Here is a 21,189-nt window from a genome sequence, read left to right as displayed (position 1 = left end):
TCCCACGTCTCTCCCCCAAAAAACAAACCACTAGCAGCAACACCACCACCACCTCTCCCCAAGAGTCCTGCCCTTGTCTGAAAGCTGTAGCTCTTCTTAAGGCTACAAATTAGCTTCTCTGCTTAAGCCTTAGCAAATCTTCCAACCCCAGACACTTTCTTTTTTTGTGGTTAAAAATGGAGACTTTGAAACGAGAAAGACCTAGGTTAGAATTTCAGATCTGTACATTACTATCTCTAATGCAAACTTGGGTAGGTCGTTTCACCTCTCTAAACCTCAATTTCCTCATTTGTAAAAGACAGAAACTAATAATATGTATTTCCTTTGTTGTTGTAAGGATTCCAGATGATAATGTATGGACAGCAATGAGCATACTATGAGTATCCAGTAAATGCTAGTTATTACAAATACTAGAGTAGCTTGGCTAAGGAGCTGGGAGGAAAAGGGAAAGGGGTGTATGGTATGGGCTTTGTAGAAAGGATGGACAGAAGAGCAAGAAGCAGAAATGCGTATAGAAATGGAGGTGGAGGATGTAAACATGAGATTTTGTTTTCTTGGTGGTCATTAGTGAAGGGGCCTATTTCCCCCACTGGCCTCCATCTCCCCTCTCTTCCCTGGAGTCTCCGTTCCTCCAGCCATTGCTCCGCATCCCCCTTGCAATGATTTCTGTGGGAGGGGACTGACGTGGCTCATGATGAATGGGTGATATTGACAAGTGGCAGCAAAGAACTCTTGCCCTTGATTGTCCTTTTCTGGGCTCAGGTGCTTCCTCACCGATATTGGCATAAGCCTCCCTGGTCTCTTCATCACCTTCCATGTCACACAACAGCCTGCTGAACTGGTCGCAGTTGATGGTGTCTGTGTCGGGTTCTGGGAGGAAAAGTCCCTTGGATGAAGAAGGAAATTTCTGGAAAGAGGGCTGGTGGGGAACGAGGGAGAGGCGGGGCAGGGCTGGGAGATCATCCCCATCTGCAGAGAGCGTCCCACAGACGTGGGAGCTGTCCGTGGTGCTGACGGGAGGGCAGGGACCAGAATTTCCCCTGATTGCCGTCTCTACAGCAAGCTGAGGGGTGGGGGATACCGGAAGAGACCAGAGGGAGGAGGGCCCACCTGAGTAGAGCTCAATCTCTTCTTCTCCAGCCAGGTCCATCTGGTCATAGAAGTGGTAGAGGCACAGGGGGTCAGCATCGCTGTTAAGAAGCTCCAGGTAGCCACCTTCTAGGGGCCCCAACTCCATGGTGGCACACTGTGAGCTGCCTGGGAGGGAAGACAATGCTCAGTCACCTCACAGGGTGTTGGAAAGAGGCAGAAAATTGACACCTACAACAACTCCCAGCTGGTGAGGGCTGGGGATGAGAGGAGTGAATAAAAGCGCTCATTCAGCACCTCTTATATGCTCAGCGTGGTGGAGAGAGCAAGCCACATTCCCTTCCTCCAAGGAACTTACAACCATATGAGAAGATACCCAGGAGGTAGAAAAGGGAACTGGAAAGTGTGGATTCCATCAATCTCACACCAGAGAGTCAGGAGACCCGTCCCACATTTGGCAATGCCATGAGTGGTAACAGCTAAGGTTTATAAAGCACCTCCTATACGCCAGGCACATGAGCTGGCACATTTAATACTCATATCAGTAACCATGTAAGGAAGGTATTATTATTATCCTCACTTTGCATATGAGAAAACTGAGGCTCAGAGAGGTGAAGTGATTTATGTAAGGAAACCCATGTCCAAGTGGAACCAGGATTTGAACCCAGACAGTCTGACTGAAGTCCTGCATTTAACCACAATGCTCTACTGCTTTGGGTGGACTTGAGCAAGTCTCTGCTCCTTTCTGTGCCTCAGTTTCCTAATATGTAAACTGAAGGAGTCTGAGCAGATTCTAAGATTTCCTCATCATTTGTTGAAGGGCATATTAAATACTTTTAACACTATTTCATTTAATCTTTAAACAATCCCAAATGTGGATACCTCAAATATCCTGACATGATCATTATACCTTCTATGCATGTAATAAATATTCACATATACCCCATAAATATGTATCATATTATGTATTAATAAAACAAAAGAAAACAAGAAAAACCAGATATATCCACACAAAAACCTATACACGAATGTTCACAGAAGGATAATTCAAAATAGCCAAAATATAAAAACAGCCCAAATATCCACCAAAAAATAAATGGATAAACAAAATGTTGCTTATCTATACAATAAAGTATTCCACCATTAAAGGGAGAAAGCACTGATACATGCTGGAACATGGATGAACCTTAAAAAAAATGCTAAGTGAAGAAGCCGGACACAAAGGGTCACATATTGTATGATTCTATTTATTTGAAATGACCAAAACAGGCAAATCCATGGAGACATAAAGTAGGAGGGGTGGGGCGTGGTGGCTCATGCCTGAAATCCCAGCACTTTGGGAGGCTGAGACAGGAGAATCGCTTGAGCCCAGGTGTTCAAGACCAGCCTGGGCAACATAGCAAAAGCCTATCTCTATTAATTTTTTTTTAAGAAAGAAAGCATATTAGTGGTTGCCTAGGGCTTGGCAGAGAGGGATTTTGGAAGGAAATGGGGAACAACTGCTGATGGGTCTGGAGTTTCTTTAGGGGGTGATGAAATGTGCTAAAATTGACTGTGGGGATGGGAGATGGTCACACAACTCTCTGAGTATTCCCAAAAGAACACTGAACTCTACTTTTTTTTTTTTTTTTTTTTTTTTTTTTTTAAGACGGAGTCTCTGTCACCCAGGCTGGAGTGCAGGGGTGCAATCTTGGCTCACTGCAACGTCTGCCTCCCAGGTTCAAGCCATTCTTCTGCCTCAGCCTCCTGAGCAGCTGGGATTACAGGCACCCACCACCACACCCGGCTAATTTTTGCATTTTTAGTAGAGACAGTGTTTCACCATTTTGGCCAGGCTGTTCTCAAACTCCTGACCTCAAGTGATCCGCCTGTCTCCTCGGCCTCCCAAAGTGTTGGGATTACAGGCATGAACTGTACTTTTTAAGTGGGCAAATTGTATATGTGAATTACATCTCAATAAAGCTGTTAAAACCTAGGAAGTAAGCATTATTGTCTCCATTGGCAGATGAAGAACTTGAGACCCAGAGAAGACAAGCAGCTTCCTCAAGATCATGTAGCTCTTGCTGGGGAAAGCCAAGCTGAAGGCTCATCTGTGTGGCTCTAAGGCTCCTGCCAGGATCCGTGGTTCAGGTCCATGTTTCCATGGTATATTCATTTCCCAGGGCTGCTGAAACAAGGTACCAGCATCCAGGTAGCTCAGAACAACAGCACTTTATTCTCTCATGGTTCTGGAGGCCAGAAGTTGAAGCCAAGGTGTCAGCAGGGCCACGCTGCCTCTGGAGGCTCGAGGGGAGAATGCTTCCTTGCCTCCTCTAGCTGCTGGGAACTACTGGTGATCCTTGACTTGTGGTCTTGTGGCTGCATCACTCTAAACTCAGCTTTAGTGGCCACATCACCTACTCCTCATGTAGCAAGTCTCTTTCTCTTATAAAGACACTTGTCATTGGATTTAGGACCCACCTAGATAATCCAGGATGATGTCATTTCAAGATCTTTAATTCTTTTTTTGCCTTCTTTTGAGACAGAGGCTTGCTCTGTTGCCCAGGCTGGAATGCAGTGGCGCTGTATCGGCTCACTGCAACCTCCACCTCCCAGTTCAAGCGATTCTCCTGCCCCAGTCTCCTGAGTAGCTGGGATTACAGGTGCTCACCACCATGACCAGCTAATTTTTGTATTTTTAGTAGAAATGGGGTTTTGCCATGTTGGCCACGCTGGTCTTGAACTCCTGACCTCAGGTGATCCTCCAATCTCAGCTTCCCAAAGTGCTGGGATTACAGGCATGAGCCACTGCACCCAGCCCCTTAACTTAATTCTATCTGCAAAGACCCTTTTCCCAAATAAAGTCACACTGACAGGTTCCAGGGATTTGACATGGACATATCTTTTGGGGGGCCACCTTTCAACCCACCACACATGACATGCAGATGAAGGCTGGAAAGAAACAGAGGGAGCTTCCTGGAGGAGGTAAGAGGAGAGCTGGCCCTGAAGCTGGAAGACCAGAGGGAGGCTCCTACTGCCCTGTTCTGGGCCCAGAAGAGAATACATTGAAGAGTAAGCTCATGAGAAAACACACACTCAACTTGCCACCCCATTCCTGAGACTCATTTTCTTTTTCTTTTTTTTTTTGAGACAGAGTCTCACTCTGTCGCCCAGGCTGGAGTGCAGTGGTGCAATCTTGGCTCACTGCAACCTCTGCCTCCCGGATTCAAGCAATTCTCCTGCTTCAACCTCCCAAGTAGCTGGCATTACAGGCACCCGCCACCATGCCTGGCTAATTTTTTTATTTTTAGTAAAGATGGGGTTTCACCATGTTGGTCAGGCTGGTTTCGAACTCCCGACCTCAGGTGATCCACCCGCCTTGGCCTCCCAAAGTGCTGGGATTACAGGTGTGAGCCACCACACCCGGCCCAGAGACCCATTTTCTTTCACGCATCCACAGCTTTCACTGCCTGGGGAGAGGCTCAGCACAGACCCCCGGATGTCACAGAGAATGATCTTTCCAGTCCAAGCTGGGGCACTGGCTGGGCCCACTTGTTCATGACGGTTGAGCGGGGGCTGCAGGAACCCAAACATAACCGGCTTGCAGCGAGATCCCAGCCAACCATGACTAGAGGAAGCAGAACTGAAAGATGGGGCCACCGCCCTTTTCCTGGAGCAGGGCCAAAGCTGGGAGATGGTTGGGGGTGAGATGCTCCACCTCTCCCAGCCCCTTGGTCAGGGACACAGGCACAAAATCTGTTCTCTCAGAGCAGTGAGAAAAGACACCTTTGCCCCAGCTCCTGCCTGATGCCCGCCTCCCATTCCACCCATGCTCTTTATTAAGAACCTACATTGCAGCAATCTGCCTCCTCTTTGAGGCAGTGTGATCTCGTGACAAGAGCTCCAGACTGATCCTAGCAACTCCGTGAATGAGTTGTGTGACTTTGGACTTTGGGCCATATCTATAAAATGATTCCATATCTATAACATTTCTATAAGATAATTCCATATCTATAAAATAATAAGTTACCCAAACTCAGTTTTCTCACAGGGCATTGGGTCTGCCAGGGACCTTCAAGCTTGACCTCTTTCCTTCACTCTGCAGATGACAAGACTGAGACCCCGGGAAGGACGTGACTTGCACAAGACCTCATAGCCTGTCGGTGGCTGCCCCTGCCCCTTCTCCCCCACTCCCCCTGCCAAGACTCCCAGGCTGGTGCTCTTTCCCCCCAGTCAAAATGTTCCCAATGAAATGATCACCCTTGTCCTGTCTGGGCTCAAGCATAGAGACACAGGTGGTATCACAGATGGGGGATGGTGGGAGGGACCGCAGGGAGGAGCCTGGAGACATTTAGCCCACCCCCACTTATTGATGAGCTCTGCTTCAAACTCTGGATGACACTGCTGTGTGGTTAAGCACACAGTCAGAGAAATAAATTGAGAAGGGAAAGAAGGCAAGTATCGTGAGCTTTGGCGTAAAATTTACCAACTTTGAGACTACCCCTACCTACCAACACACTGTAACCTGGGCAAGTTCATTTTTTAAACCACTTGGAGCCTCAGTTTCCATATCTATAAAATGCGAATAATAATTGGCAACTCACAAGGATTAGGGGAGTTAAGTCACGCGGAGCCCTTAGCAATGGGACTGGCAATCAGTAAGTGCTGAATGAACAGAAGTTTAAGGCAGCACAGCTTCTACATGGTGAGTATAATATGTGTGATGGCCATCATTATTAGTTTGCTTCTTACGTTTGTGAGAGTGACAAAGGGACCCTTTCCCTTCCATTTCTTCCGAGGTCAAACTTTGTGAAGCCGAGCTTTCTGTTCTTTTGCATAAGGGGACCCTGCAGACTTCATAGGAACAAGAAGGGCCCCATAGGCCGGGCATGGTGGCTCACATCTGTAGAAATTCCAGCACTTTGGGAGTCCAAGGCAGGAGTATCACCTCAGTCCAGGAGTTTGAGACCAGCCTGGGCAACATGGTGAAGCCCTATCTCTACAAATAACACAAAACTTAGCTGGGCGTGGTGATGTGCATCTGTAGAACCAGCTACTCAGGAGGCTGAGGTGGGAGGATAGCTTGAGCCTGGGGAGGTGTCAAGGCTGCAGTGAACTGAGATTGCACCACTGCACTCCAGCCTGGGTGATAGAGCCAGACTGTGTCTCAGAAAAAAAAAAAAGGCCCCCACAGCCAGCAGGGCAGCTTGGATGGTCTGGCCACGCTCCCCATCACCACCACTGAGAAGTTGCCTGGGCAAAAAGTCACCAGAGGGCCTAAGATCTGCGTCATTGGCTCAACCTGGACAAGAAGAAACCCCCTCCCAGAAGCCCCCAATACACATTTCAGCGCCCCACTTCCTGCTTCCCTAAGACTGAAGCCTGCACCTTAAGCACTTCCTCTTGGGTGATCAAGGATTTGCAGCTCACAGTGGACTTCTGCCTCCATCCTCCACACCATCTGAGTTCCCAAAAAGCTCTGGGGAAAAGGCAGGGTAGAGTGTTATGCCCATTTGAGCTTAGAGGAGGTTCACACGCCTCAGTGAAATGGCTTGTCCAAGGTCATGTGGTTTAGGAGCTTGCATCTGAATTCTGGCTGTGATGCCTTAGCCAAGTCACTTGACCTCTCTGAACATCAGTTTTCCCAATATTAGTTCTGGAGAATGAAGATTGCCTTGCAGCCCACCACTGTGGGAGGCCGAGGCAGGCAGATCACTTGAGGTCAGGAGTTTGAGACCAGCCCGGGCAACATGGTGAAATCCCGTCTCTACTAAAAATACAAAATTAGCCAGGCATGGTGGCGTGCTTCTGTAATCCCAGCTACTTGGGAGGCTGAGGCAGGAGAATCGCTTGAACCTGGGAGGCAGAGGCTGCAGTGAACCAAGACTGCGCCACTGCACTCCAGCCTGGGCGACAAAGTGAGATACCATCTCAAAAAAAAAACAAAAAACAAAAAACAAAAAAGATTGTCCTGCAGGATCATCAGAAGGCCAAGGGAGTTCTGTGTGGGGTGCCAGCTATGTGGGAAGCCTACAGTCAAAGGAAGCCCATTACATTAGAGGGTGTCAAAGCTGAAATTCAGGCCCAAGACTCTAGGTTTCCCCACAACGCCACAGCTGCCTCCCAGTCACACCAAGATCTACTTGAATCTTGGCATGGGACCTTCCTCTATCCCCAGAGCCAAGTTTCCTATGTCTATAGATGCTTAGGAAGTGCTTCAAAGGCCCCTTCATTGGACTGTTTCTCCAAACCACATTGCCAGAGCGGGATGGAGGGAAAAGATGGCCCTGATCATCCCGTGGCAGGAGAGAGAGCCCTTCAGCTCTCCCTGAGGGCAGGGACTGTATCCCTCTAGCTCACCTTCTCCCAGCTCTCAGCATGTTTCTGCGCATGGCAGCCTCTCTTCATCCGTGGCAATGATATAGAACTAGAATTCACAGTGTCCAGCAAGTGCCAGGTACCAAATGACATGACTCGTAGGCATTACCCCATTTGGTCTAACTTACACATCAGCTATTTGTATTCCTGTTTTTCAGATGAAGAGACAGGCTCAGAGGGATTAGTGGGCTGAGATTTGAACCAAACTACCCATCTCCAAAGTCTCAGCCCACTCTATAGCCTTTTTGAATTGCTGTTGGCCCCCCAGCACCCCGGCGAGGGAAGGCGTGGGTGGCAAGACAATTTCTCCTTTTGAGGAGCCATGTGGGGGCAGGGCAGAGGCGCGGTCTGTGTCTTTTTGGTAAATGGGCAGTATTTTTAGAAGGTCCTCTTTGAAACTGTGCTTCCCCCTGGGCCACCACCTTCCACATCCAACTCGAGAAAATATTCCTGATCTTTTTGCCATCAAAAGTCCTTTTTGGGGTTTATTTTCATCCCCACTTCACACTGCATGCAGGATTTGAAAGGCTAAGTGTAGACACTAAACAGGTGTCTGAAATAACAATTCACCTCTCTCTCCCCCGAGGGAAATCAGGTGTCGCCACAATGTTCTAACTCAGACTTAAACTATCTGAAGATCAGTGCATGCATCTCTTCTGGGAACAGCATAACGTTCCATCTCAGCTGGTGGGAGATGAATGGAGCTCAGATGGTGAGCTTTGGGGTGAAATTTCCCAACTTTCAGGTTATCCCTACCTACCAACGCACTACAATCTGGGTAAGTTCATTTTTTAAACCACTTGGAGCCTCAGTTTCCTTATCTGTAAAGTGGGGGATAATAATTGGCAACTCATAGGATTAGGGGAGTTAAGTTGCATGGAGCCCTTAGAAAGGGGACTGGCGACCAGTAAGTGCTCAATGAACAGTAGCTTAAGGCAGCACAACTTCTGCATGGTGAGTACAATATGCGTGATGACCATTTTTATTATTAATGTGCTTCTTACCTCTGTGAGAGTGACCAGGGGAGATTTCTCTGTGTCTGGGGCTGTGCTAGATGCCTTGCATTTACTATTCTGTTTCAACTGTTAACGGCAACTCTGGGAGATTGTTGTTATTATAGCCATTTTACAGACGCAGGCGCTGAGATTACGTCCAGTTCATTAGATGTTTTCTTCCCAGAGGCGGGGAGTCTATCTTTGAGGGTCTAAGGAGGCACTGAAAGGGAGAAGAAGGCTCTTTTGCTACCCCTAAAAGCCTCCAGCACTGCTCTGAACTGTGATTAAAGAGCATGAGAAGGAGGCCAGGGGTGGTGGCTCACGCCTATAATCCTAGCACTTTGAGAGGCCGAGGCTGGCGGATTACTTGAGGTCAGGAGTTCAAGACCAGCCTGACCAGCATGGTGAAACCCCGTCTCTGCAAAAATACAAAAATGAGCTGGGCGTGGTGGTGGGTGCCTATAATCCCAGCTACTTGGGAGGCTGAGGCAGGAAAATTGCTTGAACCTGGGAGGCGGAGGTTGCAGTGAGCCGAGATCACGCCACTGCACTCCAGCCTCGGTGACAGAGCAAGACTCTGTCTCAGACAAAAAAAAAAAAAGCTTGAGAAGGAATACTTCCCTACTCTTGACCATGAACTTCTCCTCCTGAGGAATAATGGGAAGACCTCTGAACTGTGTGCCTAGAGACATGGTTTGAGTTTCTGCTCTGCCTTTGATCCTGAGTACATTACCTTAGCCCTCTGAGCCTCCGTTTCAACGAGTGTTGGAGCCCCTTCAATTGAGTCTTTTTGAGATTCTGATTCCTCGTTGCCTGGCAGTCTTCTCCTTTTCCTTTCCCCCAAGGCCCCCCCCAACACCAACCTGCTCCCCAACCTCATGACAAGCTGCTTCCGGGGGCCAAATGGTGTTGGGAAGCCAGGGGCCTAGGAATGCCTATCTACCATGACCAGACCCCAAACAGCTTCTTTGTGGGGGTAGTAGCTCAAATGAGTTCCGCTTTTGCTCATGCACCCTGTAGTCCTCCAGATAAACTCTAAGAAACATCTCTCACTTTTCCCCTCTAAAGCTGTAAAACAATGATTCACTGAGCACCCCGTAAGAAAGTCACTGAGCTCAGTTCCTTACTGGCCCCAAAGAGGTTTACCACACAGTCCCTGCCAAAGAGGCTTGCAATGTAGACCCAGATGATATTTTAGGAGAGAGACAAAACATAATAATAGCATAGTGGTTAAGGGTGCAGGCTCTGGGTTCAAATCTTAGTTCCACACTTGCTGTGTGACTTTGCAAATGTTACTCAACCTCTCTGAGTCACAGAATCGACTGCATTTTGTTGGCACAGTGCTTATGTCACTGGGTTGTTGTGACTTACCTAAAGTGACTTAGCGAGTAAGTGGTACTAAGATGTAAACTCCAAAAATAAAACAGCAAAGTGACACTTGATACTGTACAACTGGCAAAAGTTAGACATCTGGGAAATGCCAAGTGTTGGTTACACGGGTTTGTGGGAATGTAGATGGATGGGGCCGCTCTGGAGAACGACCTGGCATCATGTAGAATATCTAAGGATATGTAGATCCTACCACCTGGCAATTCAGCTCTTGGGTCTATATATCCTGAAGAAATGTTCCCACAACTCCCCAGGAGAACCCATCTGAGGATGGTTACTGCTGTGTTATTTGTGGTGACAGAGAGTTGGAGGTCACCTAGGTGTCCATCACTGGGGGTGTGGACAGGTGAAAAGTAACCCCTGCACTCCATAGAGAACAATGTCCGTGATTAGAAGCAAAGATCAAATGCATCAGAAGCAAGGCAAGTAGATCCTAAAAACATAGTACAGAATGCAAAAGTAAGAAACTGTGGCCAGGCGTGGTGACTCGCACCTGTAATTCCAGCACTTTGGGAGGCCGAGGCGGGTGGATCACCTGAGGTCAGGAGTTTGAGACCAGCCTGGCCAAGGTGGTAAAACCCCATCTCTACTAAAAATAGAAAACTCAGCCTGGGTGACAGAGTGAGACTCCATCTAAAAAAAAAAAAAAAAGGCAAAACATGTTTTATAAGAGCACATACAAACAGAAAGATACACCTGAAATGCATTAGAATGGGCACCCAGTATGGGAAATAGGGACATTAATGAAGAGAAAACCCTCATGTGAACCAAAGATCATAGTGTACCATGACCTGGGCTGCACTGGGCAGTTAATCGAAGGTTTAAAGGCCCAGGGGTTGAAAAGAAAAGAAACAAAGGAGGATTCATGGGGTGAGGTTGGTACCTCTATGGCTCACCAACAATAGGGCCTGCACAGAGCCTGGTACCTATAGATGTTCACAAAGAAACAAACCTCTGCTCTTGCCACCCCACAGGCTGTCTGGTGATGGCTTGATTTGTGCCCAAGAGCCCAGGGTCCTGGGGAAGAGATAGGAACATGCTGGACTTGGAGCAGGATGGGGGAGGAGCTGGATGTAGAGGAAGAAGCCCCTCACTCTCCAGCCTGCTGTTTGCAAACCAAGTGTAGATATCCCAGGAGAACGAGACAGAGAGAGGACTTAAGAGAAACTACTGGTCTCACTCAAGACTTTCACTTCCTGGAGTGGCACGAGGAGGTCACAGGAGACGGAGAGGAAACTAAGGCATGTAGCAACACTGCAATGCTCAGGGGCTTATGGGCCTGGAAACAGTTGCAGGATCTGATCATTTGTCCTCAAGGCAGGGAGACTAGAAGACGTGCGTGCATGTGCCTGCATGCATGTGTGTGCATGTGTATGTGTGTAATGGGGGCAGGAGGTCAGATGAGCTTCGTGTCAGGAGAGGTCTGGAGATATTGCTATTGGTTGGCTCTAAATCCCCTTTCTGACCTGCAAGCTCCTCAGCTGTGCCACAGGGGCTTGGCTGCAAAATCAAAAGTTGAATCCAGTCGATAGGCCTATTTGTTTTGTTTCCCAAGCCAATATAAGTGTGTGTGTGTCTAAATCACCATCACAATGTCTCTATATAGAGTACACACAATTGTTACCAGAGGCCCCACTACTCCCTATTGCCTTCTGCCTGGACACATTTTACATCATTATGGCCCCTTTGGTATTTGGATTTGCCACCCTTGGCTTGGAGGCCCTTGCAGGTCCCAAGATAATGGCTTGGGAGGGATGGGTGACTGGGGCAGGGAGAGGCAGGATTCAATTATGTCCTGTCCTGCAATGGAATTGAGGTGTACAGTAGGGTCTTTTTCTACAGAGGGTCTTGGAGGGGACTGGCCCTGGGTACCCAAACAGGCCAGTTCCACACAGAGAAGGAGCAGGAAGCACTAAAGTTGCAGCATCTGGGGTGTTGGGTGCACTTTCCCAGCTCTGCTGCCAGCTCAGATGGAAAGGTGATTAAGAGGTAAGCTGTCTGAGATCACACCTGTAATCCCAGCACTTTGGGAGGCTGAGGAGGGAGGATGACTTGAGGCCAGGAGTTTGAGACCAGCCTGGGCAACATAGTGAAACCCCATCTCTTCAGAAATAAAAGATACAAAAATTAGCTGGGTGTGGTGGAGTGCCCTTGTAGTCTCGGCTACTTGGGAGGCTGAGGCAGGAGGATGGCTTGAGCTCAGGAGCTTGAGGCTGCAGTGAGCAATGACTGTGCCACTGCACTCCAACCTGGGCAACAGAGTGAGACTTTGTCTCATAAATGAAAGGATGAATGAATGAATGAAAGAATGGTAAGCTCCCTGGGAACTGTGGGATGCAAAGAGCTGCTCCCTGCTGACACCTGCCTGCTGCTCCTTTTTGCCATCCCAATTCCAGCACCGTTGAATGGATTTCCATTGCAGCTCCCTGCCCTTTGGGTTTGAACCAACCAGCCTCTGGCAAACAAAGTAACTTCAGAGCAGGAAAGTGGAAAACAAATTAAAATTGGCTGCAATCCCTAGCCAAAGGGCTTCTCAGCAGTTGGAGGCAGGTTAAAGAAAGAAGGACAAGCTCAGTCACAAGTGAAATGAGTCTGTGTGATACTATAATGTCATATACATTACATCATGTATCTGTCCAAACCCACAGAATGTACAACACCAAGAGTAAACCCTCATGTAAACAAACCATGGACCTTGGGTAATAATGATGCATCAATGTAGGTTCATTGATTATAACAAATGTATCAGTCTGGTGCTGAGTGTTCATCATGGGGGAGGCTATGCCTGTATGGGAGGACGGAGGTAGATGAGGGATGTGAAGGTCTAGCTTCCTTGCTGTCCCAGCTTGAGTGCTCCCTATGGGATTGGCTAAGACCTCTGTTGTGACTGCATTGCACCTCAACTCCTGCTGCTTCCCAACCCTGCTTTCTTCCCTTTTCCTTCGGGTGTTCCCTCCTGTGAATGTCCCCAGTAAACCTCCTATATGCAAATCTCCATCTCCTACTTGGCTTCCCAGACAATCTGACCTGAGACAACTTACTTCTATTTTTCCTCCAAGAGGGACGTGGAAATCCTACAGGACCCCACAAAAGACACCACAGATGCCCCCTCTGAAAGTTCAGGCAAGCCACCTATCTTCTCTGGGTCCCGATTGAGGACACTGACCTCATAACAACTTGGAAAATCTTAAAACTCGAATGGGCCATCATCTCCAGCTTGTGCATTTGCCAGTAAAGGGTAAAGTTATTGTGGGTGAGGGGCCTGGTGGTCCCAGGATGAGAATGAAGATGAGCTGTATGAGCTGCAGCCAGGAGACCTTCGGTCCCTGTCCAGAATGCAGGGTTGGGATAAGAGTTCCCTTCCCCGCTTGCCTGGTCTGTCCCAGCTCCAGATAGCCTCCCTTCTGCATGCCACTCCTAACTGCAGTCAATGACCTGGAAAGGAGTCCAACAAGTTTTTCCTGGAAGGGAACCTGACCCTGGTGCTGGGGTAGGGGGTGGAGTGATGAGGATCTTGTGACTGCAGTTAGCAAAGCCAGGCCCCACACTCCAGTCCTGACCCATCCGGCTCTACTTAACACAGTCCCCCCGCCAGCACTCTGCTGGGTGCTGGAGACCCCAAGATGAACCACGAGCCAGTCCTGCTTGCTGAGATCTGACTACGGAGTCCAGCCATCGGCAGGCTTGGCTGTGAGTGAGAATTACCTGGGAAGGGTGTTAAAAACACAGCGTCCTGGGCCTCACCCCCAGTGATTCTATTCAGGGAGTCTGCAGCCGGGCCCAGGAATCTGTATTTTCTTTCATTTTTTTTGAGACGGAGTTTCACTCTTGTTGCCCAGGCTGGAGTGCAATGGTGTGATCTCGGCTCACCGCAATCTCCGCCTCCTGGGTTCAGGCGATTCTCCTCCACCAGCCTACCGAGTAGCTGGGATTACAGGCATGCACCACTACACCCGGCTAATTTTGTATTTTTAGGAGAGACGGTGTTTCACCATGTTGCCCAGGCTGGTCTCGAACTCCTGATCCCAGGTGATCCACCGGCCTCAGCCTCCCAAAGTGCTGGGGTTACAGGTGTGAGCCACCATGCCCGGCCTGGAATCTGTATTTTCAAAAATTTATTTTTATTAATTTATATATTTTTTTCCTAAAAAAAGGTCTTGCTCTGTTGCCCAGGCTGGTCTTGAACTCCTGGTCTCAAGCCATCATCCTGCCTTGACCTCCCAAGGTGATGGAATTACAGGCATGAGCCACTGCACCAGGCCCCTTTCTTAATTCTTATATCTTTCCTTCCTGAAGTCTTTCAGCTGCCCTCTGCTGCCATGCCCTTGGTCTAGTAGTCACCAGACCCTCAGCATAGATTTTACAATAGCTTCCAGGTCTTTCCTCTCATCCGGTTTCCCAAACTGCAGGCATTCGTCTTCCATCTTTACAATTTTTGGGGTCATATTGACATATCACCTGTTCTACAATTTACCTTAGTATTTTTCTTAAATTAACTTTTTAAAGAAACTTAAATAGACCGATTTTAAAAGAAAGCTTTCTAGAGTTGAAAGCGGGGAGTCAGACAGATATTTGTCCACCCATGTACCTAGCAAGATTATTCACAATAGTCAAGAGGTAGGAACAACCCAAGTGTCTATCAACAAATGAATGGATGAACAAAATATGGGATATCCACATATTAGAATACTATTCCGCCATAGAAAGGAATTACACATGGCACGACATGGATGAACCTGGAAGACATTATGCTAAGTGAAAGAAGCCAGGCACAAAAAGACAAATATCACGTAATTCTATTTATAGGCGGTGTCTAGAGTAGCCCAAAACATAGAGACAGGAAGTTGGAGTTACCACGAGCTGGGTGGAAGGGGCAGTGGGGAGTTATTGCTTATTGGGTAGAGTTTCAGTTTGGGAGGATGAAAAAGTTCTGGAGATGGATGGTAGCGGAGGTTGCACAACAGTTTGAAATATTTAATGCCACTGAAATGTACATTTGAAAGTGGTTAAAATGGTAAATTTTATGTTATATGTATTTTACCATGATTTTACAAAAAGAAAACTTTTTTTTCCATGTATAAACGGAAAAGCAAAACCAAACCAACAGTATCACTTGTGGTTGAAAAAGAAACAATGTTACTAAAATAATCTCAGCTTCTTTACCACTTTGTTAAAAAGAAATCTTAGCAAGCATTAGGGCACTGTCAAACATCAGGGAAAATCAGAGACTTTGTCCTTGATGTCAGAAGGATTGAAGGAATCTGAAAACTATCTATGTCCTTCCTATGAGAATCGGTGGTAACTAATGCCCCTTTCTGAACTGTCTTTTGACTGTGTGTGTCTTGGTCTTTGGAAACCTCCCATCTGCCTATGCTTTCCTCTCTGACTTTTTTCTCTCTCTTTTTTTTTTCCTGAGACAGTCTTGCTCTGTTGCCCAGGCTGGCGTGCAGTGGTGCAATCTCAGCTCTCGGGTAACCTCCACCTCTCGGGTAAACTCCGCCTCTTGGGTTCAAGTGATTCTCGTGCCTCAGCCTCCCAAGTAGTTGAGATTACAGGTGTGCACCACCATGCCCGGCTAAAACACAAAAAAGTGTTTTAGTAGAGTTGGGGTTTCTCCAGGTTGCCCAGGCTGGTCTTGAACTCCTGGCCTCAAGCAATCCACCCGCCTCGGCCTCCCAAAGTGCTAGGATTACAGGTGTGAACCACTGCTCCCGGCCCCTCTCTGATCTTTCTAAACAATCCCTTTAGGATCTATAATAATTATTCCCAATGCATGAATATTCTTTGGTGGTTTTCTAAAGTGCTTTTTCTGTACACATCAGACATCATCAAGCAAGCTCTCATGTTTTATCCATTTTACAGATGAACCTCAGAGAGGGGAAGTCACTTGTCAGTGTGACTCAAGGCAAATCTGAGGCTAAGTCCAGAAGTTTCCTACCTCCCTCCAGCCACTTCCCTGATTGCCTGGAACTAATCCAGAGTTTCCTTGGGTTAATTTCTGATTCTGCTCTTCTCAAGGTATCTGAGGCTGGGTCTTAGGACATGAAACCAAGCCCCAGCCATCAGACAGACTGGGTATCAACAGGTTTCTCTCTGACTGCCTGGGACCTGCCCTGCATTTGTGGAGGTTCACATCTGCTTGCTGCACTGGGCTGGGCTCTCAGTAGACCAGGGTTCAAATCCTGCGTCTGCAAACTGCTTGCTATGTGGCGTTAAGCAAAACAAAACAAAACACCTCCTGGTACTCCTTTTCTGATAGAGGTTTTGTAACAGGGAGAGAGTAAAGAGATGAGACCACATCAGCGCCTCCCAGTGTCTCTGACTTGAGGGACTTTTGCCCCACAAACGAACATTGGAGTCACCTGGGATAGATGGTTTAACCTGCAGGATCTCAGCCTCACCCCAGGCCTAGCCAACCGGGCCTGGGGGTGAGCCCGGGAACCTACATCCTGAACAGGTTGATCATCCCAGGTGATGTTCATGTGTGGGGAGCCTGGGATTCCCCACTCAGTCATCTCCAAAGACCCTGCCTCCAAACGCTCTGAGATTGTTGGAGACCAGGTCATCCCCTAAGGGAGCCGGGGGTTTGCAAGGTGATCATTTGTTGGAGTCAAGTTCCTTTGGCTCCTCTTTCTCCAAGAGGAAGAAGTACCTGTTTCCTTAATCTCACTCCGGAGAAGTATTTATTTATTTTTTCTCTGGAGTGGGGAGCAGAAACGGAAGACTTCCTGCCAAAGTTAGACACTCCAGGCTGCGGCTGGGGAGGGAGCCATGCCTTGAACTTCTAGGCTTTTGCCACCTCTCCTGTGCCACCTAGGGTGGAGAGGGGCTGTGGGACTCAGGAGGACCGCGGCTTTTAAGAGTTCCAGACTAAGCTAAGCATGGTGGCTCCGATTCCGGCTTTCCTGGACCCCAGGGAGATCCAATCTCCCACTCCCACCCCGGCATTCGCACGCTGGCTTTCCGGGGCGCTTTAGCCTCTCTCCTTAGAGGGTGTGACTCAGGGCCCCAAAGCGAGGTAGAGAAGTGAGAGATCAAGAGATCGGTTCAGTCCGGGGGGATCCCTCCCCCACCCCTCCCAACAACACACACCTTCGCCAAGATGTTCAACGAGAGTTGAGGACTTATCCCATCCTCTGGTTAAAGGTTTGGCTCCCTACTGCCTCCCTGAGCAGGGCCCCCCGCCTGGAGAGCCCAATACCCAAGATTCCAGAGTTAGAGATGGAATATGACCCAACAGGGAAAGTGAAGCTCAGGGAACGGCGGCCCTGGTCCAAAGTCTGGCGTACAAGAAGGGCGCGCACCTCTGCAGGATCCCGGGCGCGCGGAGTCGGCCAAGGGTGGCCGGGGGAGTGTGTCTGCTCCGCGCTCCCAGTCTGCGCTCCGGCTTCTCTGCAGAAGCTGCCGCCAGGCTTTCCTGCCACCCGCCCACGGCCCCGGAGCTCTGGGCACAGCAAGCCAAGCTCCGGGTTCCCGGCTCCTGGTTCCCGCGCAGAGTCGTTGCGGGGATGCTGGAAACGAGGTGTTTCCCGGCCCTACATTTTGCATATTCCATCCCCCCATCCTCCCAGACTTGCTGTGTGACCTTGAGCAAGTAGCTGACAGTCTCGGAGCCTCGATTCTCAGCCCGACCTTAGGGGTTACAGAGGAGACTTTGGTCACCTACCGCTGTTCCCCGGGCTCCCGCGCGCGCTGCTGGTGGCCTCTCCCTCCCGCCAGCTCTGGGGCCGCGGCAAGTCTGTGGCAGCTCGTCCGCTGGTCATCCTACCTCCCCGCCTCCCCGCAGTTCTTTTTCCCTTTCACTTTCTTTCTGCAGCGCTGAGCTCGGGCCAGGCTGTGGAGCAACCAAGCACCTACTGTGGCCACCACGTGCTTTATCAGAAGTGGCATCCCAACTGCCTGGGGCATCCAAGAGGTCCCTGCCTCCAGTCGGTTCCTCACAGTGGCCAGCCCCACTTCGGGGAGAGTCCCAGGCCCCGGGCCAGGAGCCAGGAGCTAGGGAGCCACTTGGGCAAGTGATCTGCAAGTCCTGAGTTGCAGGGAGCTTGTCCCCACCCCTGGGTGGGTCTCTGTTTCTCTCCAACTCAGTCCAACCGTGAAAGTGGCAAACCACCTCCGAGGGCACATGGCCCCTGAGATGAGCTAACTGAGCTATTCACTCCTCTGATGCTGGCCCTAGGGAGGAAGAGAAAATCCCTCAGGTACCTTCCATGGATGGAAAACCTGTGTTACCATGACCACACCCCCAGCCGTGGCAAGAGCCCTGCCGGTCCTTTTCAGAGGTCTTGGATTCCTGCTGGGTCCTCCAAGGCATGAGACTTTGAGGTGGTCACTTTCCCTTTTCAGGCCTGAATTTCCTCATCTGGAATTGAGGGAGGGGGCAAGGTTACCTCTGACTTCTCCCCCTCCAACACTTTCCCGTAGCAACTTAAGGCTGCACCCAACCACACCGGCAGACCTGTCATCAGTCTCTGGGTTCAAAGCAAACCATACATTTCAGGGGAGTCTGAGAAAAGGGATACCACCCCTTTAACCATCCAACAACAGCAATGCCAATAAAATTGAGCTCCTATGAGCTCAATTCCAGTTCCTATAAAATATTGGACACTGTGCTAGGTCCCTCATCATTACCCTTTCATACAGGCTTTCCCACAGGTCCATTGTACACTCCAGGAAAATTGACTCGAGAATGTAAACGACTTCTTCAGGGGCACACCCTTCCCAGCCAACGGTGTAGCTGCCATGCTGCCTTCAGAGCCGGTGCCAGGTGTCTGCACTGTGCTCTTCCCACCATCTGTTCCCCCGTCCCCTGACCCTTTTTAAACAACACCATTAGGAAACTGGGGGGAGGGCAGCATCCGCCAGCTCTCCCCAGCTGCTGAGGGCTCAACAGCTACACCTCAAGGCTGACTCCAATTTTGGTTTCCCTGCTTCTCTGGGTATGGAGTGGAGTCTGGCAGAGGTCCCGTCCTGCAGAGGCACCCCTCAGTATTTACCCAAAGGGAGGCGAGAAGACCTTGCTGTGGGCCGAGCCAGGCCAGCATGCTGAGAGTTAGTGACACACTGCCCGAAAGTCTGACTTCTAGAACCTTTCGGTGCTGATACATGGTTCATACTCCAGACACCTGGCTGACCTGAAGTCTCCCTCCGGTGGAAGGAAATAGACAACTCTTTCACATCTTCCAATGGCCTGCCCCAGCAGGACACAGACTCCTGTTCCCATCCTCACCCCCATCCCCAATTCAGAATGGTTTCTCTGTTTATCTGGAATGGCAGGACCAGCTGAGACTGCACGCTAAATTAAGATGCTTTCCCGGCCTTTTTACCTTGGGGCTCTGACAGGTAGGACCCAGCAGGGCGTGGAGCCAGGCAACGCATTGTGTAGGAATCCCAGCCAGGCAGCAGCTCCCGGAGTCTGGCAGCCCCTCCTCGTGCCCTCAGCTTCCCCAAGGATGCCTTCGGATGCCCAGCTCAGAAGCACACAGCCTCATCACTAGCCTCATCACTAACCAGTCACCAGTTGGGAGCCCGCCAAGCTAAGCCAACATGCAAAGAAACAAGTGAGGGATCATCAAAAAAACTCTCCCTGCAAGGTGGCCCCAAGCGGTCAGATTTCTGTTTCTGAACACCCTCTAATTTTACCACACTCCCTTAAGCCCTCCCCACACCTCTGAAATTAATTTCACTTCCTTACTGTGGACTGAATTTGGTGAAGACAGAAAGTTGCACAGAAAGTCTGTTGGGGGAACCTTCAACAGTCTGACGTTCAGAAATGATGATCACAATGGAACCGCACTGGTGCCAGCTGCCAATATCTGCCACCTTCTGCAGGATGGGGCCAGTATCATAGCCCTCCGCCCAGATGCCTCAAGACAAGCTGAGAGCCTCTGCTGGGGACTTCTTAGATGCTGCTCTCCTCTACCATGCCTACTCCCACACCAAATTGCCCTGAATTTCTCTGGAGATCATAAGTGGCCCACCTGTCATTTTCATCCCAAGACATTGGACTAAAACATAAATTATACCAAAAGAGTGTTAACCCAAATATGGTACCCTTGTAGTCAGATGGTTTGGGGTGACCCGCCAAAGTGATGCTAAATAATACTGACTCCCATAGGGAGAAAGTTAGTGTCTTTTCCAGTCTCTGCCCATCCTCCTGGTGGTATCAAGGAGGAAGTCTCAGCTTGGTGTGAACATGTCTTTAACACCTCTTCTAATATATGATCACTCTGTTTTATAGAAAGCAGCTCTCTAGCCTCAGAGCCTTCTACAGTCAACAGTATCTTGCTATAATCTAACATCACTCTGCTTTCTTGTTAAATGGTTACCTCCTGTTTTTGCCATTTTTTCCCTTTATAATGGGACGTAAAGTTTTATTTGAATATAAAGTAGATGGCTGGGCCAGGTGGCTTGTGCCTGTAATTCCAACATTTTGGGAGGCCGAAGCAGGAGGATTGCTTGAAGCCGGGAGTTGGAGGCTAGCCTGGGCAACATAGTGACACCCTATGTCTACAAATTGTTGGGGTTTTTTTTGTTTGTTTTTGTTTTTTTTTAGACGGAGTTTCACTCTTATTGCCAGGCTAGAGTGCAATGGCATGATCTTGGCTCGCTGCAACCTCCGCCTCCCGGGTTCTGGGTTCAACTGATTCTCCTGCCTCAGCCTCCCGAGCAGCTGGGATTACAGGCACCTGCCACTATGTCCAGCTAATTTTTCTTTTCTTTTCTTTTTTTCTTTTTTTGAGACGGAGTCGCGCTCTTTCGCCCAGGCTGGACTGCAGTGGCGCTATCTTGGCTCACTGCAAGCTCCGCCTCCTGGGTTCACGCCATTCTCCTACATCCAGCTAATTTTTCTACAAATGATTTTTTAAAAATTAGCCATGTATGATGGTGCACAACTATAGTCCCAGCTACTCTGGAGGCTGAAGTGGGAGGATCGAGTGTGCCCAGGAGTTGGAGGCTGCAGTGAGCTATGATCATGAAATACACTCCAGCCTGGGCAACAGAGTGAGATCCTGCCTCTCCTAAAGAAAAAGAAAAGAAAGATAAGTAAAAAAGGTGAGTGGTTAAAAAAAACCCTGTCATAAATAATAGTAAAGTGTTATGTGGAAAACACAAAAATGATGAAGGTGGTACTGAAATGAAGGTTTGGAAACATGACTTGTGTGCCTCATGCATTTTTGCTGAAAGAGCACTGGACGGGGAACTTAGTAGCAGGTGTGTGACCTTGGCCTCTTTACTTCCTCTCTGTGGTCCTCAGTTTCCCCATGTGTGAAATGAGGATGATGCCCTTCTTTGTAAGGTGATTACTTTGAAGCCTTCACTGTTTTCAGAAGTCCCCGGGTGAGGAGTGGGGTAGAAA

The 21,189-nt window shown here is 49.0% G+C and overlaps 1 protein-coding gene across 32 annotated transcripts in view, besides 8 other annotated features; it reads right to left on the bottom strand.

Annotated features, from left to right (window-relative positions):
- The window catches only part of CIITA (class II major histocompatibility complex transactivator), a 76,816-nt gene that overhangs the window by 46,483 nt on the left and 9,144 nt on the right, over nucleotides 1-21,189 (bottom strand). For 10 of the 32 annotated variants that reach the window (XR_001751904.2, XM_011522485.3, XM_011522484.4 and 7 more), the window contains exons 2-3: nucleotides 1,111-1,257; nucleotides 775-870 (exon numbers count right to left, since the gene is read on the bottom strand). Coding sequence is in view for 28 of the 32 variants with exons in the window: in XM_011522485.3 (XP_011520787.1) it covers nucleotides 775-870; nucleotides 1,111-1,257 (243 nt within the window). In the remaining 4 variants the exon portion in view is untranslated. Of the gene's footprint in view, nucleotides 1-774; nucleotides 871-1,110; nucleotides 1,258-17,496; nucleotides 17,573-19,156; nucleotides 19,342-21,189 lie in introns of those variants that run through there. The other 22 variants (XR_007064879.1, XM_047434117.1, XM_047434116.1 and 19 more) reach the window with 3 other exon arrangements.
- Nucleotides 9,143-9,262: an enhancer, noted in NCBI's record as "active region_10399". NCBI's record gives its function as "activates an Ori minimal core promoter by ATAC-STARR-seq in GM12878 lymphoblastoid cells {active_cell/tissue: GM12878}" and the evidence as "EXISTENCE:reporter gene assay evidence [ECO:0000049][PMID:35858748]".
- Nucleotides 16,714-16,793: an enhancer, noted in NCBI's record as "active region_10398". NCBI's record gives its function as "activates an Ori minimal core promoter by ATAC-STARR-seq in GM12878 lymphoblastoid cells {active_cell/tissue: GM12878}" and the evidence as "EXISTENCE:reporter gene assay evidence [ECO:0000049][PMID:35858748]".
- Nucleotides 17,364-17,483: an enhancer, noted in NCBI's record as "active region_10397". NCBI's record gives its function as "activates an Ori minimal core promoter by ATAC-STARR-seq in GM12878 lymphoblastoid cells {active_cell/tissue: GM12878}" and the evidence as "EXISTENCE:reporter gene assay evidence [ECO:0000049][PMID:35858748]".
- Nucleotides 17,564-17,613: an enhancer, noted in NCBI's record as "active region_10396". NCBI's record gives its function as "activates an Ori minimal core promoter by ATAC-STARR-seq in GM12878 lymphoblastoid cells {active_cell/tissue: GM12878}" and the evidence as "EXISTENCE:reporter gene assay evidence [ECO:0000049][PMID:35858748]".
- Nucleotides 19,034-19,083: an enhancer, noted in NCBI's record as "active region_10395". NCBI's record gives its function as "activates an Ori minimal core promoter by ATAC-STARR-seq in GM12878 lymphoblastoid cells {active_cell/tissue: GM12878}" and the evidence as "EXISTENCE:reporter gene assay evidence [ECO:0000049][PMID:35858748]".
- Nucleotides 19,124-19,203: an enhancer, noted in NCBI's record as "active region_10394". NCBI's record gives its function as "activates an Ori minimal core promoter by ATAC-STARR-seq in GM12878 lymphoblastoid cells {active_cell/tissue: GM12878}" and the evidence as "EXISTENCE:reporter gene assay evidence [ECO:0000049][PMID:35858748]".
- Nucleotides 19,244-19,313: an enhancer, noted in NCBI's record as "active region_10393". NCBI's record gives its function as "activates an Ori minimal core promoter by ATAC-STARR-seq in GM12878 lymphoblastoid cells {active_cell/tissue: GM12878}" and the evidence as "EXISTENCE:reporter gene assay evidence [ECO:0000049][PMID:35858748]".
- Nucleotides 19,644-19,723: an enhancer, noted in NCBI's record as "active region_10392". NCBI's record gives its function as "activates an Ori minimal core promoter by ATAC-STARR-seq in GM12878 lymphoblastoid cells {active_cell/tissue: GM12878}" and the evidence as "EXISTENCE:reporter gene assay evidence [ECO:0000049][PMID:35858748]".

This window comes from Homo sapiens, chromosome 16 (genome assembly GCF_000001405.40).
Source record: "Homo sapiens chromosome 16, GRCh38.p14 Primary Assembly".
In the NCBI taxonomy this organism is placed as follows: Eukaryota; Metazoa; Chordata; class Mammalia; order Primates; family Hominidae; genus Homo; species Homo sapiens.
The sequence above is the reverse complement of the archived record's forward strand: the minus strand, read 5'-3'. Positions and strand labels throughout refer to the sequence as shown.